The sequence below is a fragment of the Homo sapiens genome, chromosome 5 (assembly GCF_000001405.40).
Source record: "Homo sapiens chromosome 5, GRCh38.p14 Primary Assembly".
Lineage (NCBI taxonomy): Eukaryota > Metazoa > Chordata > Mammalia > Primates > Hominidae > Homo > Homo sapiens.
The window spans coordinates 181,453,557-181,466,691 of NC_000005.10; the positions used below are offsets into that span (position 1 = coordinate 181,453,557).

Genomic DNA, 13,135 nt, shown 5'->3' on the forward strand with positions numbered 1-13,135 from the left:
GGCTGTGTGCCATCTCCGGGACTGCACGGAGAGGCGGAGGCTCAGGCGTGGGATCTGAGCTCAGTGGGCCCTTTAAGGACCGCTGCCTCCTTTCCTCCCTTTGGCATTCAGCATCGACTTACGATGGCTCCCAGTCACAGTCCTTGTCACTGCCTGGCATTACACAGGGCCACAGTCCCTTAACTGAAACACTTGGGACCAGTTGCATTTTGGAATTTGGAATGTTTCTTGATTTCAGAGAGAGAAGAGGGGATGGACTGTTGGGCAGCCCTGATTAACCCTGCAGCGTCTTGGCTCTAGAGGGGCCTACACGGCTGGGAGCGTCTCGGCTCTAGAGAGGGGCCTGCACTGCCGGGAGCATCTCAGCTCTAGAGAGGGGCCTGCACTGCTGGGAAGCCTACACGGCTGGGAGCGTCTCGGCTCTAGAGCCACAGCTGATGCATGGCAACGATGAGCTCTCCTGCTTAGTGCTGATGTGCCTCAGCCCCTAACCCCACTGGTGTCCAGATGAGGAACTTGAGGCTCAGAGAAGCTAGGTCAAGGTGAACACCAGTGTTGAGTTTCAGCCCCAGGTCTACCTGATGCTGCCTCCACATTGACTGAGTTGGCCTGGTCCATTGTGAGGTCAGGTAGAGCCAGGGCCGAGGTGGGGATGCCAAGGTCCCATGCCGCAAAGATGGGTGGGACGGCACAGGAGCCAGTCATCATCCCCAAAGACACAGCTCCGAATACCTCATCCTGAAATCCCAAAGATCAAAATCCCAAAAGTATAAATCTGGAAAAAATAATGTCGATGTTATTTATTTACATTTTTAAAAGGTATGTATTTGAGAAACATAAAAACACAACAGAACATTTCATAGGCCACTTTACACAATAAAATAGGCAATGATAACAGGTATTTTTGCATAAACACTGAGGTAACTAACGACGGCGGCATGGGTGTAGCAGTTATAAGAAGACAGACCATAAAGAAATAAGTCAAAAGAGAAACGTGTACACGTATATCGCTACGGTTACTAATTGTGTGCACCTAGCCCTGTAGCTGTGGTCATCTGAAATATCAGGGATTTTAGACTTGAGGGATTTTGATCTTTAGGGATTTCAACATTCCACATTATGGTGCTTGGGATTGTGTCTTTCAGGATTATGATCCAAACTCAGCTGGGCCTCCCCTCCCTGCCCCAGGATTGTGGAGTGAGAACGTTGCAGCAGGAGAGAACAACGCAGCAAAGCACAGCAGGGGAACCGGAAATGCTCACCTTTTGACAGGGTACTTTTAGTTCTGGGGCCTTATCTTAAGGATATTCCAACATATACAAAAAGATTCATGCACAGAGATATTTACTTTAGTATTATTTACCATAGGAAAAAAGTTGGAAACAATACATTTTATGTTCTGTAAAATGAAAGAACAGTTAAATAAATCATGGCTCTAAGACGACTCCAGGGCTGTGTACGGAAGTTCAGGGACAGAATCAGTTGAGGCTGTTCCACCTGAGCCTAAGGTTCCTCTGCTGTATGTCGGGAATCAGGTGGGGGCCAAGCGAGATCACCACAGTGCAGGCCAGTGTGCAGGGCACAGGTGGGCGCCAGGGAGGGGACGCCGCACAGCCCCATGCTCTCGCCAAAAACGTGCAGCACAATTTGGAAGAAAACGTTTCCATCTGTTAATAAAGAGCAACGGCCTCTGGTCATAAGTGACACATGACCCTTTGCCTGAGTCTTTTTAAATTTTTCCATATGTTCCATATTTTCTACACCAAATGTAAGCTACTTTCATAATCACAAAAACTTAATGGAAAGAGGAGGAGGAGGACGGGGGTGGGGAGTAGTAGCCATGGGTTCGAGCCCTTCCTCTCCGCATGACTTGGATAACACGGTATATTCACACAGCTATTTCCCCATCTATGAACTTCTGAGGTGCTTTTATTAGTTGATGTCTGGGACCCCTAGGAGCTCTCTTTATACCTCATGATATCAAATGCCCACCTTTCCAGCTCCTCTTGGCCTCCTGCCCTTCCTGGAGGGAGATGCGCTCCCTGGAGCTGCTGACTAGGTGGAAGCAGACTGGCTCCTTCAGTGGGTAGGCCAGCCTGCCTGTCTCCCTAGCCCAGTCCCACCGTGCTGGCCTCAGTGGTGGAGGCAGGCATGGAGCCTTGGAGGAACCACTCCTCCCCAGCCGCCACCAACATTTGTGGCACCGAGAAGCACCCGTGCTATTCCGGACAGGGATGGGGTTGGACACCCATGCATAGGGGACCCTACACTCCTAGGCTTGGCTCTGGGCTAAACAGCAGGTGTGGATTTGGGCCTAGGCCTCGGAGAAGCCATCAGCTAGGGCAGAATTCCCATGTGGGCAGGATGTTATTTAGGAATTCCAGGGCTTTCTGTATTCCAGATTTCCTGTATTGTGCATATGTGCGTGCATGTATGTGCCCTCAGCCATGATGTAAAGTGTTTTTCTGGCTGGGGTTGCATCACAGAGTTTGGAAGCCACTGCTCTGCAGATTCTGAGGACCACCTCCCTTATTTCTCACCAAATTCCCATTTCTTCTGTTTTTGTTCCACCCAATGCAAAAAGCATACTGCCTTCTCTTCTGCATTGGTGGGCAGCGGGTCCTGCAGCTCAGGTTTCTCCAGCCAGGGCCCTGAACGTGAGCCTGGTGGCGTGGGCAGGGGGCTGACTCCATGTGGGCCAAAGGCAACCTATCCAGCTCTTCAGAATGGCTTTTCTCTCCTCCCTATAAAACATATTTTCTCTCCTCCCTATAAAGCCTATTTTTGTATTAGGGTGTTTGTTAAAATGAAAACATGAGATCATTGATGCATAACGAGAAGCCGTGTCATTACTTCCCAGGCCCTGTGCAAGGTGCAAATTGGCGTGTTAGTGGCTGTTTGCATCTTTTCAGTTCCTTTCGTCTTTTCTCCTTATCCTGCCCTTTATATGGTTTCTGCTTTAAGTCAAACATTGTGAGTGGATTGATGGACATATGTGTGTGTGAGCGTGTGTGCACAGATGCATGAGAACTGCAGAGAGAGATGGGAGGTAACCAGGGGGATCACTGTTCTCTTCTTCCCAAACATTAGCGTTAGGCTGTTCCGCTTCTGTTCTTGAGAGGGCACCCACATTACTGCTTGGGAGCCTGGAAATGGCCCCACTGAAGCAGCTCTGAGGCCCTGGACACCCTTTTCCTGGTTGTGGCCAGCTGAGTTGTTCATGGTCCTCCCCGTGGGATGTGCTTGGAGCATCTGCTGGTAGCAGAGCCTCAGTTCCTCTCCTGCGTTCTTTCGCTACAGGTGTTAGACCTGCTGCCCACCTGTGACCTGTTTACTGCCAGGGATAGACCTGTGGCCAGTGTGGAAAGCGAGATGCTTTGTCCATACAGCCTGCGGGGCTCAGCCTTCCCGGGGTTGCCCACAGCTAGGCTGGGCCAGGACCCCCAAGCCTGGGAACTTACACCTTTCTCACCTGCTTTCCTAAAGGTGGTTTTCCTTTGTGATCTCTCTCCCTGAACGGCTAAACCACACTCTGAATAGAAAACTGTCTTGAAAACTGCTTTGCACGTACATCTGATAAGGTCCTCTGGAGGGCGACCTCCACTGTCTAGTGGGCGAGGATTGTTTAGCCGCCTTGGCTGAGTCACCGAGCTGCCAAGGGCAGACTGTACCCTGGGCTCACCAGCATGCAAAGATATTTTATTCATTTATTTATTCCATAAATATATATTTATATTATTTATATTTAGAGCCAGTGTATCTCTCTGTCGCTCAGGCTGGAGTGCAGTGGCACTATCTCACTGCAGCCTCAAGCTCCCGGGCTCAAGGAATCCTCCTACTTTGTCCTCCCAAACAAAAATATTTTTAAGGAGCCCACTAGGAGAGTGCTGAGTTTAAAATCTAAGTTCTTGTTTCTTTTTTCTTTTTCACTGATGCATAATAGATGTACATAGTTTCAGGGTACATGTGATAGTTTAATGCATTCATATAATTGTGAAAATCAAATCAGCCTACTTGGAATATCTATCGCCTTAAATATTTGTTTTTGCTTTATGCTAGAACCGTTCCGATTCTTCTCTTCTAGCCATTTTGAAATATACAGTAGGCAATTGCCAACTATGATCTATGTAACACTAGGTCTTATTCCTTCTATCAAACCACGTATTTGTACCCTTCAATCAACTTCTCTTTCTCCCCCTCTCCCCGCTACATTTCCCCACCTCTGGTAACCACGCGTCTACCCTCTGTCTTCACGAGAGCTACTTTTTTAGTAGGTGGGAGAGAACATTCAATGTTTGTCTTTCTGTGCTTGGCTTATTTCACTTAACATAATGATCCCTAGTTCCATCTTGTACAAATAACAGGCTGTCGTTCCTCTGTATGGCTGAATAATATTCCACTGTGTATACACACCACGTTCTGTTTATCCATCATCCGCTGATGAACTCAGAGGCTGATTCCGTATTTTGGCGATTGTGAGTAGTCCCGCAGTAAACATGAGAGTGCAGATGTCTTTACGATATATTGATTTTGTTTCTTTTGACTATAGGCCCAGTTAGTGAAATTACTGGATCATACAGCAGTTTTACTTTTAGATGGTTTTTTTTTTGTTTGTTTGTTTTTTGAGATGGAGTCTTGCTCTGTCACTAGGCTGGTGTGCAGTGGTGTGATCTTGGCTCACTGCAACCTCTGCCTCCCGGGTTCCTGTGTTTAAGCGATTCCCCTGCCTCAGCCTCCCGAGTAGCTGGGATTTATAGGTGCGCACCACCACGCCCAGCTAATTTTTTGTATTTTAGTAGAGACGGGATTTCACCATGTTGGCCAGGATGGTCTCGATCTCCTGACCTTGTGATCCGCCCGCCTCCACCTCCCAAAGTGCTGGGATTACAGGTGTGAGACACCGCGCCCGGCCAACTTTTATTTATTTATTTATTTTTTAAGGAGGAGTCTTGCTCTGTCACCCAGGCTGGAGTGCAATGGTGCGCTCTCCGCTCACCGCAATCTCCACCTCCTGTGTTCCAGTGATTCTCCTGCCTCAGTCTCCCAAGTAGCTGGGATTACAGGGTCGCACCACCACGCCTGGCTAATTTTTTATATTTTTAGTAGAGATGGGGTTTCATCATGTTGGCCAGGCTGGTCTCAAACTCCTGACCTTGTGATCCCCCTGCTTTGGCCTCCCAAAGTGCTGGGACCACAGGCGTGAGCCACCGTGCCCGGCCCCTTTTGGTTTTTTGAGGAGCCTCCATCTGTTTTCCATAGTGGTTGTACTAATCAACGTTCCCACAACAGTGTGTGAGGGTCCCCCTTTCTCCACATCCTCGCCAGCATCCCTTATTCCCTGCGTTTTTGACGAAAGCCATTTTAACTGAGGTGAGAGAAGACCTCATTGCAGTTTTTTATTTGCGTTTCTCTGATGATTAGTGATGTTGAGCATTTTTTCATGTACCTGCTGGCCATTTGTACATCTTCTTTTGAGAAATGTCTACTCAGGTCTCTTGCCCATTTTAAAATTCGATTAATTGTTTGCTATTGTTTGAGCTCCTGGTTATGAATCCCTTTTCAGGTGGGTAGCTTGCAAGTATTTTCTCCCATTCTGTGGGTTGTCTCTTCAGTTTGTTGACTTTTTCCTTTGGTCTGCAGAGGGTTCTTAGCTTGGTGTGATTTCACTTGTCTGTTTTTGCTTTGGTTGCCTGTGCTTTTGGGGCCCTACTGAAAAAGTCTTTGCTGAGAACAATGTCCTGGAGCACTTCCCTAATGTTTTCTTCCAGTAGTTTTATACTTTCAGGTCTCAGTTTTACCTTTAATCCATTCTGATTTGATTTCTGTGTATGGTAAGAGAGACGGGTCTAGTTTCATTCTTCTGCATATCTTTATCTAGTTTCCCCTGCACCACTTATGGAAGAGACCGTCCTTTCGCTCGTATGTTGTTGGTGCCTTTGCTGAAGATGAGCTGGCTGTAAATGTGTGGATTTATATCTGGGTTCTCTATTCTGTTCCACTGGTCTATGTGTCTGTTTTACGTGATTACCAGGCTGATTACCAGGCTGATAGGTTGGCTCATGCCTGTAATCCCAGTACCTTTGGAGGCCCAGGTGGGAGGATCACTTGAAGCCAGGACTTCAAAACCAGCCTGGGCAACAAAGCAGGACCCCATCTCTACAATGTTTTAAAAAATTATTTGGTGCAGTGGCATACACCTGTAGTCCCAACTACGCAGGAGGCTGAGGTGGGAGGATCCTTTGAGCCTAGGAGTTTGAGGCTGCTCTGAGCTGTGATTGTGCTACTGCACTCCAGCCTGGTTGACAGAGCAAGGCCCTGTCTCTTAAAAAAAAAAAAAAAAACTATTGCAAGAGGAGAGAGAGAGACTGAATTCAACTCTCAATACAACAGAGACAAGTGGGGATAGCCAATGAGCAGGGTGAGGGAGGTGATGAAAAGTTGTTGAAAGGAGCTTGGTTAGTTAGCAAGGGTGGGGAAGATTCTCACTAAGGACCTTAGCAGCATTCCTTGCTAGCACTGAGCTCAGCAGGCCAAGGATGAGGCTTCATCAAGGAGAAGGCTCAAAGGAGCCTGAGTGGAGTTTGGTCAAGGAGAGCGTCTTTGTCATCCTTGCAATGACTCATTTTATAGGTAATTAAGTAGGGGGTTCAGACAGGTCAAAGACTTACCAAAAAGAGGAAATTGTGTCCATGTGGCTGGTGGCTCACCCCAGGAACTGACAGTGGCTTACTCTCAGAAACTCAGAGTGTGCATGTCTCTTTGAATCCGTATCTGTGTGTGGGTGGGTGTGTCTGTCTGTGTGCGTGCCTCAGTCTCTTCTGAATTTCTCTCCCAATCCCCGTCTCTCTTTCCTCGGGTTGGTGTTTCCCTCCTGCTGGCCTCTGGCCAGCTATTTCTGGAAGTGTCAGCTGCTCTGTCTTCCTGCCCCTGTCTCCACCATCACGTCTGTGTCTGACTCCCTTTCTTTCCCATACAAAACCCCTAATGCAAGTCCTACTGTTTCTGTAACTGGCCACTGCCTATAACAAATCTTTGCTTAGGTTGTGTTTCTTTGTAGAATAGACTGATGTACTGTGTGCTTGATTTTTACAAGATGAGCACAATACCTTATCTTTCTTCTTTATTAAAAAAAAGGAAAAATCCAAACACAAGATTAATATCTCGTCATGGACTGTGCCCCGCTCGAGCCTCTCCACATGCAGCAGGAAGGAAAGTGGAGGGAGCTGCTCCTTTCCGTAGCCGGGGTGCCCACCCCAACCAGGCTGCCTCTGCCACCCAAGACAGAGGTTCTCTGATAATAATTTGTGGGGCTTGTTTCCAGAGACCACACCTGAAGCTGCCAACTCCCCGGAGGGAAGGTCCTGATTAATGGCCGATGAATTTCTCCTTAAGGCCCTGAAACTGCCTACTCAGAACCAAGCCAGTTTTTCCTGCCTGTCCTGTTTGGGCAGGCAGAGGAGGCAGCTAGAAACCCATTATGCAGGGGATGGGGGTAAGTGGAGGAGGGAGGGGTCGGGGGAGGAGTGGGGAGGAGGAGGAGGGAAACAGGAAACCCCAGGCTTTGGCTATGATGGGGTCAGCCTTTCTACACCATTCCGGGATGCTGGTGTCCACCACTGCTGCCTGGGCACGGGGAACAGAGAATCTGCCTGGTGGGAGCAGACAAGAGGTTCGAGGACCAGAGCTCATCCTCTTCGGTGTGTGCCTGGGAGGAGGTGTAGGTGCAGCCAGTGGGGTATGATTAAAAAGAAGGGACGCGAGTTTAGGGGACAGCCGCCCACGTGCACCAGCTCTCCGTGTGCCAAAATCTTGCCTGTCAGGGACCAGGATCCCACTTCACAGTTAGCAAATAGCAGCTCAGGGACATTAAGCAACTCGCCCAGCATCCCACCAGCAGACAGTCTCGCCTTCAGGGTCGTCTGTGTCTGTTAAAGTCGAGTCTAGTTTCGGGTCTCAGAGCACCTCCCTAAAGCTGCCGTAAACCAAGAATAAAATTCTAAGCCCCACAGCCGATCGCGTGGACCCCGCCTCTGGGCCAAAGGGATTCCAGAGAAACCTGAAGAACTAGTTCAGGCCGTGATGAGGAGGAGTGGGGGCTGGACAGGCCTCATTGTACCCTCCTCCCTTTGGAATTTGGGCAGAACTGACCAGAACCAACATTAAAACAGAGATCTGAAGACTGACAAGGCTCTCTAGCAATAAGATACCAAATTCCAACCTGATTCCAGTGCAGCATCACATGACAGACAGAGGCCATGAAATCAATATTTTACCTCAAAATATATTTCTTTGACATACTTTGAAATGGCCCTGCCAAGCTGTCTCTTGTGGGGGACATTTACATTCTGTAGAGAATCCCTTCCCTTTCCAGGTCTTTCTCTGATCCTGAAGACATTGGCTGAGAGCCTAGCACCTTCTATGGGTCTGAACAGGAAACATTTGCCATCTATTGTCTCTAAGGGTGGCCACCTATGAAACTTCATCTACATAATAAGAACCTTGGTCTGCACAGTCTCTTATCTTAACCCAGACTCTCCTTTCTATTGATAGCAGGTCTGTAGATAATAATTCTTTCAACCAATTGAGAATCAGAAAATCTTTGAATCTATCTATGACCTGTAAACCCCATTACTTTGAATTTTCCTCCTTCCAGACCAAACCAATGCACAACTCCTACGTACTGATGGTGGTCTTACGTTTCCCTAAGTTTCTGCCGACTAAACTGTGCACACGTTCTCAGGACCTCCTGAAGCTGCGTCACAGGCGCTGATCAAAGAACACAACCAAGGTGAGTGTCAATCATTTCAAGAAATCTGTTTGCAAGGTTAAGGACACACCTGAGAAAAGAACAGAGAACCACAGGAAAAACTGTGGTCCGTGCTTTTCCCAAAGATTGTCTGGGGACCTCAGTAAGTAAAGGGGAGAAGTGTGGGTGTTGGGGAAAGGGGAAGAAGTGGAAAAAATGGGTGTGGGTAAATCAGAGGCAAATGGTTGCATTCTTCTGTCTTTGGTCAGCGTTCACTGAATACACATTTTACATGTGATGGAGGTAGAGGCAGGGATGTAGCTTTTTTATCTTTGTGTAATAGCTATCTTATTTAGGAACCAGATGGGAAGCAGGTTTGCATAAGCCAGTTCCCAGCTTGGCTTTTCCCTTTGGCTTAGTGAGTCTGGGGTCCCAGGATTTATTTTCCGTTCTCACAGGTTGTGGTCCTCACATTTGGCTCAAAATATTCAAAATTTTTTCCAGAGTTTGGCCTTTTCTTCAGCACTGGGAATTGTGATCCAAAGCTTTTCCTGATGAGGCACAAAGTTGGAGAAACAAAACGCAAACTAAGCAACAATGAAACAGAACAGAGTGAATCTGCTGTAGCTCAAGAGAGGACGTAGCTGCCCCCACCCCGCATCCCTGGGCTCGGGTTTGCCTTGCTGACCTCTGCTGCCACCTGGTGCCGCACAGAGAAACTGAGGAGAAACCACATCAGTCTCCTTCAGCCTCAGCTTCACATCTGTGGGTCAAGCAACCCTTTCAGAAGCTGTATAATGTGGGAAAGCTTTCCTCTCAGGAAAATGCACACATCCAACTTTGAGAAGATGCCCTTGGGGGTGCTTCAAGGATCCTAGATAATAACCCCCTTTCCCGAACATCCAAGAACCTAAGTTTTTTTTTTTTTTTTGAGAAAGTCTCGCTCTCTCTCCCATTCTGGAGTGCAGTGGCGTGATCTTGGCTCACTGCAAGCTCCACCTCCCAGGTTCAAGCCATTCTCCTGCCTCAGCCTCCCAAGTAGCTGGGGCTACAGGCACCTGCCACCACACCCGGCTAATTTTTTTGTATTTTTAGTAGAGACGGGGTTTCACCGTGTTAGCCAGAATCGTCTTGATCTCCTGACCTTGTGATCCACCCGCCTCGGCCTCCCAAAGTGCTGGGATTACAGGTGTGAGCCACCACACCTGGTCCAAGAACCCAACTTTTAGATCTAGAGTGATGTCAGCATGACATTGATTTCCTGAGGCCCAGGGGTGAAGGAGCTGAGGACAGCAGAGGGGTGAAGGAAGTCAGCTACAGACAGCAGCAGCTGATGCACAGGCCTCCCAGCGCCTGAAGTCACCCGGAATTGGGAAGTGCTCAGAAGCTTACAAAGCTGCCTCGAGGTGGGAACACAACATTAATCCAAGAGTAGATCCCTGATCCTATAAAAATGTACTAGATGCAGTGGGGGCATTTTAAATGAGCAGGGCAGGACAGACAGATAAACAGAAGGACAAACAGTATTGGGATTGGGATAAATGCTCAGCTTTTGCCCAAATCTTAGTGACTTAAGCATCACTTATTTGCTCACGATTCTGTGGCTGGACCATTTGGTTTGGCTCACAGGGCAGGGACTGTGCTGGTCTTACCTGAGCAGACCTGCATGTCTGCGGTCAACTGGGTTGGCAGAGACAGAGTGACTGTCTTCCTCCAGGAAGCAGCAGGTTAACTGGTTGGCAGAGACAGAGGGACTGAGGGACTGTCTCCCTCCAGGAAGCAGCAGGTTAACTGGTTGGCAGAGACAGAGGGACAGAGGGACTGTCTTCCTCCAGGAAGCAGCAGGTTGGCTCTGGTTCCTTCGTGGGGCAGCTGGTCTCCAGGGCAGCAAGAGAGACCAAGCCCCCGTGCACATTCTACAGCCTCTGTGCACATCAGACTTGTTAATATCCCATTGGCCAGTGCAAGTCACACGGCCAAGCCCAGATTAAGGAGTGGAAAGATGGACGCTATCTCCTCCTGGGAGAGGAGGCAAAGGAGGTGAGAGCATTATGTGGCCACTTATGTTTGCAATCTACCATACTTAGCCCTTTGAGAAAAGAATTAACTGAGAAACTTGCTTCAAATAGGGCATTCAGTAAAATGAAGCCCCAATTGAAGTAAAATGCATATATAAAAAATGAAACTGTGACCGATTTTAAGGACAGTATTGGCAAATATTTCTGTGCTCTTGGAGGAGAAGACCCTTATTGGCATGACGTGTCAGAAACCACAATGAAAGAATTATTTTAACTTGCATTCATAAAAATTAAAATTATTCATTAAAAACATCGTGAATGAAATTAAAAGTCAAAATGTAAGCCAGAAAATTATTTACAACATATGTGTCAGGAAAAGACAATACCCTTCAGACTTTGAGAGTTTACATCAGAAAGAAAATAGCAAATGACATGATCCAAACTTGATAAAGGACATGAAAAAGAGCCAGCACTTAGTATGTTTTCTGAATGAATAAGTAGCCAACAGCACATGAAAATGTGTGTAATCCACTTGTAAGCAGAGAAATGCAAATTAAAACAGTAAAGTGTCATTTTCACTTCCTGGATTGGCAAAGGGTTTTATGTATTTTACTGACAGTGCTCAACATTAGCAGTAAACAACAAATGGTGAGTAAATACGAGCTTCGGAACCTCAGGGAAATGATCTCCTTATTTCAACCTGTAGATTCCTTCCTACAACCAGTGTAGAGCAGAGTACCAGGACGGGCCATTGAGCACCCTGGTGTTGAGAGCAAGTGGCCTCTAGTCAGAGTTGGGTCAGGGTCACTGTGAGTGGGCTGCCCCCAACATGAGTCAGCTGTCTAGGACTAGTTTATCTCTGCTTCTCACTTTACTGGTATTATGGGGCAGCTCCTGCTGTCTTCCAATTTGGTGTCTTCCAAATCGGCACCGTCTTTTAAAGTTGAGTTTCTTGTTATTCTCACCTGATATACCTTATTTATCCCACACCCACCCCAATAACATATCGTGCTCAGTGTTATCTTTGAGACAACACTTGAATTTTACTCAGCCTGGCGTGCTCTTCACATGTCTTGTCTAGATCCAGTTCGGACTCATTCTTCAGCCGTGCATCAGTAAATGGGGGCTAGGTTAAACTGTGGTGACAAACAACCTCCAAATTTCAGTGGCTCAAAAATCTTCTTCCTCATTTATTTACATTTCATCATGGGTCAGGTGAGAGGTAGCTCTGTGCTGTGTCATCCTAACACAGGAATCCAGACGGAAGGAGGGACAATCAGTAAGATCCCCATTGCTATAGAAAAGAGAAAAAAGTATGCGGAATAGAACTCTGTTTCTTGGAGATTTCTCCTGAAAAAGTCACATGTTATTTCTTCTCACCTCCATTGGCAAAAAAAAAGTCACGTGGCCATGTGAAAATGTAAGTAGGCGGGATGGAACAGTCAGAATGCATTCATAAAATATGAACTGAAAATATCTGGAGAACAGCACCTATGACTACCACGAATGCCAACATGCATCCCTAACAACCCAGTGCTGTCACCCTCCAAACTTTTTATGTCTTGCAAAGTATTAGAACTTCTTATCTGAAGCCATACCACTCAGAGGGAATGCAAAATACATATTGACATCTCCTTTAGGATGTCCTTAGAGAATTCAAGGAAAAGAAGTTAAATAATTTAAAAGTGCTTTTGGGTACAGCTATTTAGCACTAGAGGGTAAGATTAGACATAGATTGTAAAGATAATAATAGGGTTAGGGATAGGATTAGGATCTGGGTCAGAGTCAGGGCCAGAAGTATGGTTAGAGGTGGGGTCATGGTCAGGGTCGAGATCAAAGTCAGGGTCAGAATTAGGGACCAGGATAGGGATCAGGATTTAGGTTCAGTGTCAAAGTCTTGGGACAGGGTTAGGGTTAGGATTAGAACCAGAGCTTTGTTCTCCTCAGGACCCACCCGAGGACGGGTCACCATGGCTTTGGAGCACCTGGTAGTGTGGCATGTCCACAGTGAAGACCAGAGTTTCATTGTCCTTAAGACTGACCTGGGGAGACGTGGCTGCAGGCCATTGAGGAAGGTGAGGAAAAACTTCCTGTCTGCTCCCCGTGTGCTGAGGAGGGAGCTCTGCCGTGGGCTTTACTTTCACATGTTATATTCCACAAGTCTTGTTTTACAAAAGCATCCCTTCCTTGAGGCTTCGGCTGCTCATCGCTGCTCATCATCATAGCGTGCCATAACATATAGTAAGATTTGGGTTTGTTTCTGGGGAGAGATCTTGGTATAGAGAAAGGAGAAATGCTTAGAGCCACCATCAGGACAGTTGGGATGAAAGTTGGGTATAGGCAGAGGCTGGAGGAAACATGTGCATCCCCT

The 13,135-nt window shown here is 47.3% G+C and overlaps 2 long non-coding RNA genes across 4 annotated transcripts in view; one reads left to right on the forward strand and one right to left on the reverse strand.

The window, feature by feature from the left end:
- Nucleotides 1-9,322, forward strand: part of LOC124901156 (uncharacterized) — a 44,142-nt gene extending 34,820 nt beyond the window's left edge. The window contains exons 4-6 of one of the 3 annotated variants that reach the window (XR_007059090.1): nt 1,146-1,273; nt 8,654-8,788; nt 9,251-9,322. This is a non-coding gene — a long non-coding RNA (uncharacterized LOC124901156). Of the gene's footprint in view, nt 1-1,145; nt 1,705-8,653; nt 8,789-9,250 lie in introns of those variants that run through there. The other 2 variants (XR_007059091.1, XR_007059092.1) reach the window with 2 other exon arrangements.
- On the reverse strand, nt 804-7,181 carry LOC124901157 (uncharacterized). Its single transcript, XR_007059094.1, has 2 exons — nt 6,669-7,181; nt 804-1,667 (listed from the first exon to the last, which is right to left on the reverse strand). It is a non-coding gene; the product is annotated as an uncharacterized LOC124901157 (long non-coding RNA).
- Nucleotides 9,323-13,135: the final 3,813 nt, after the last annotated feature.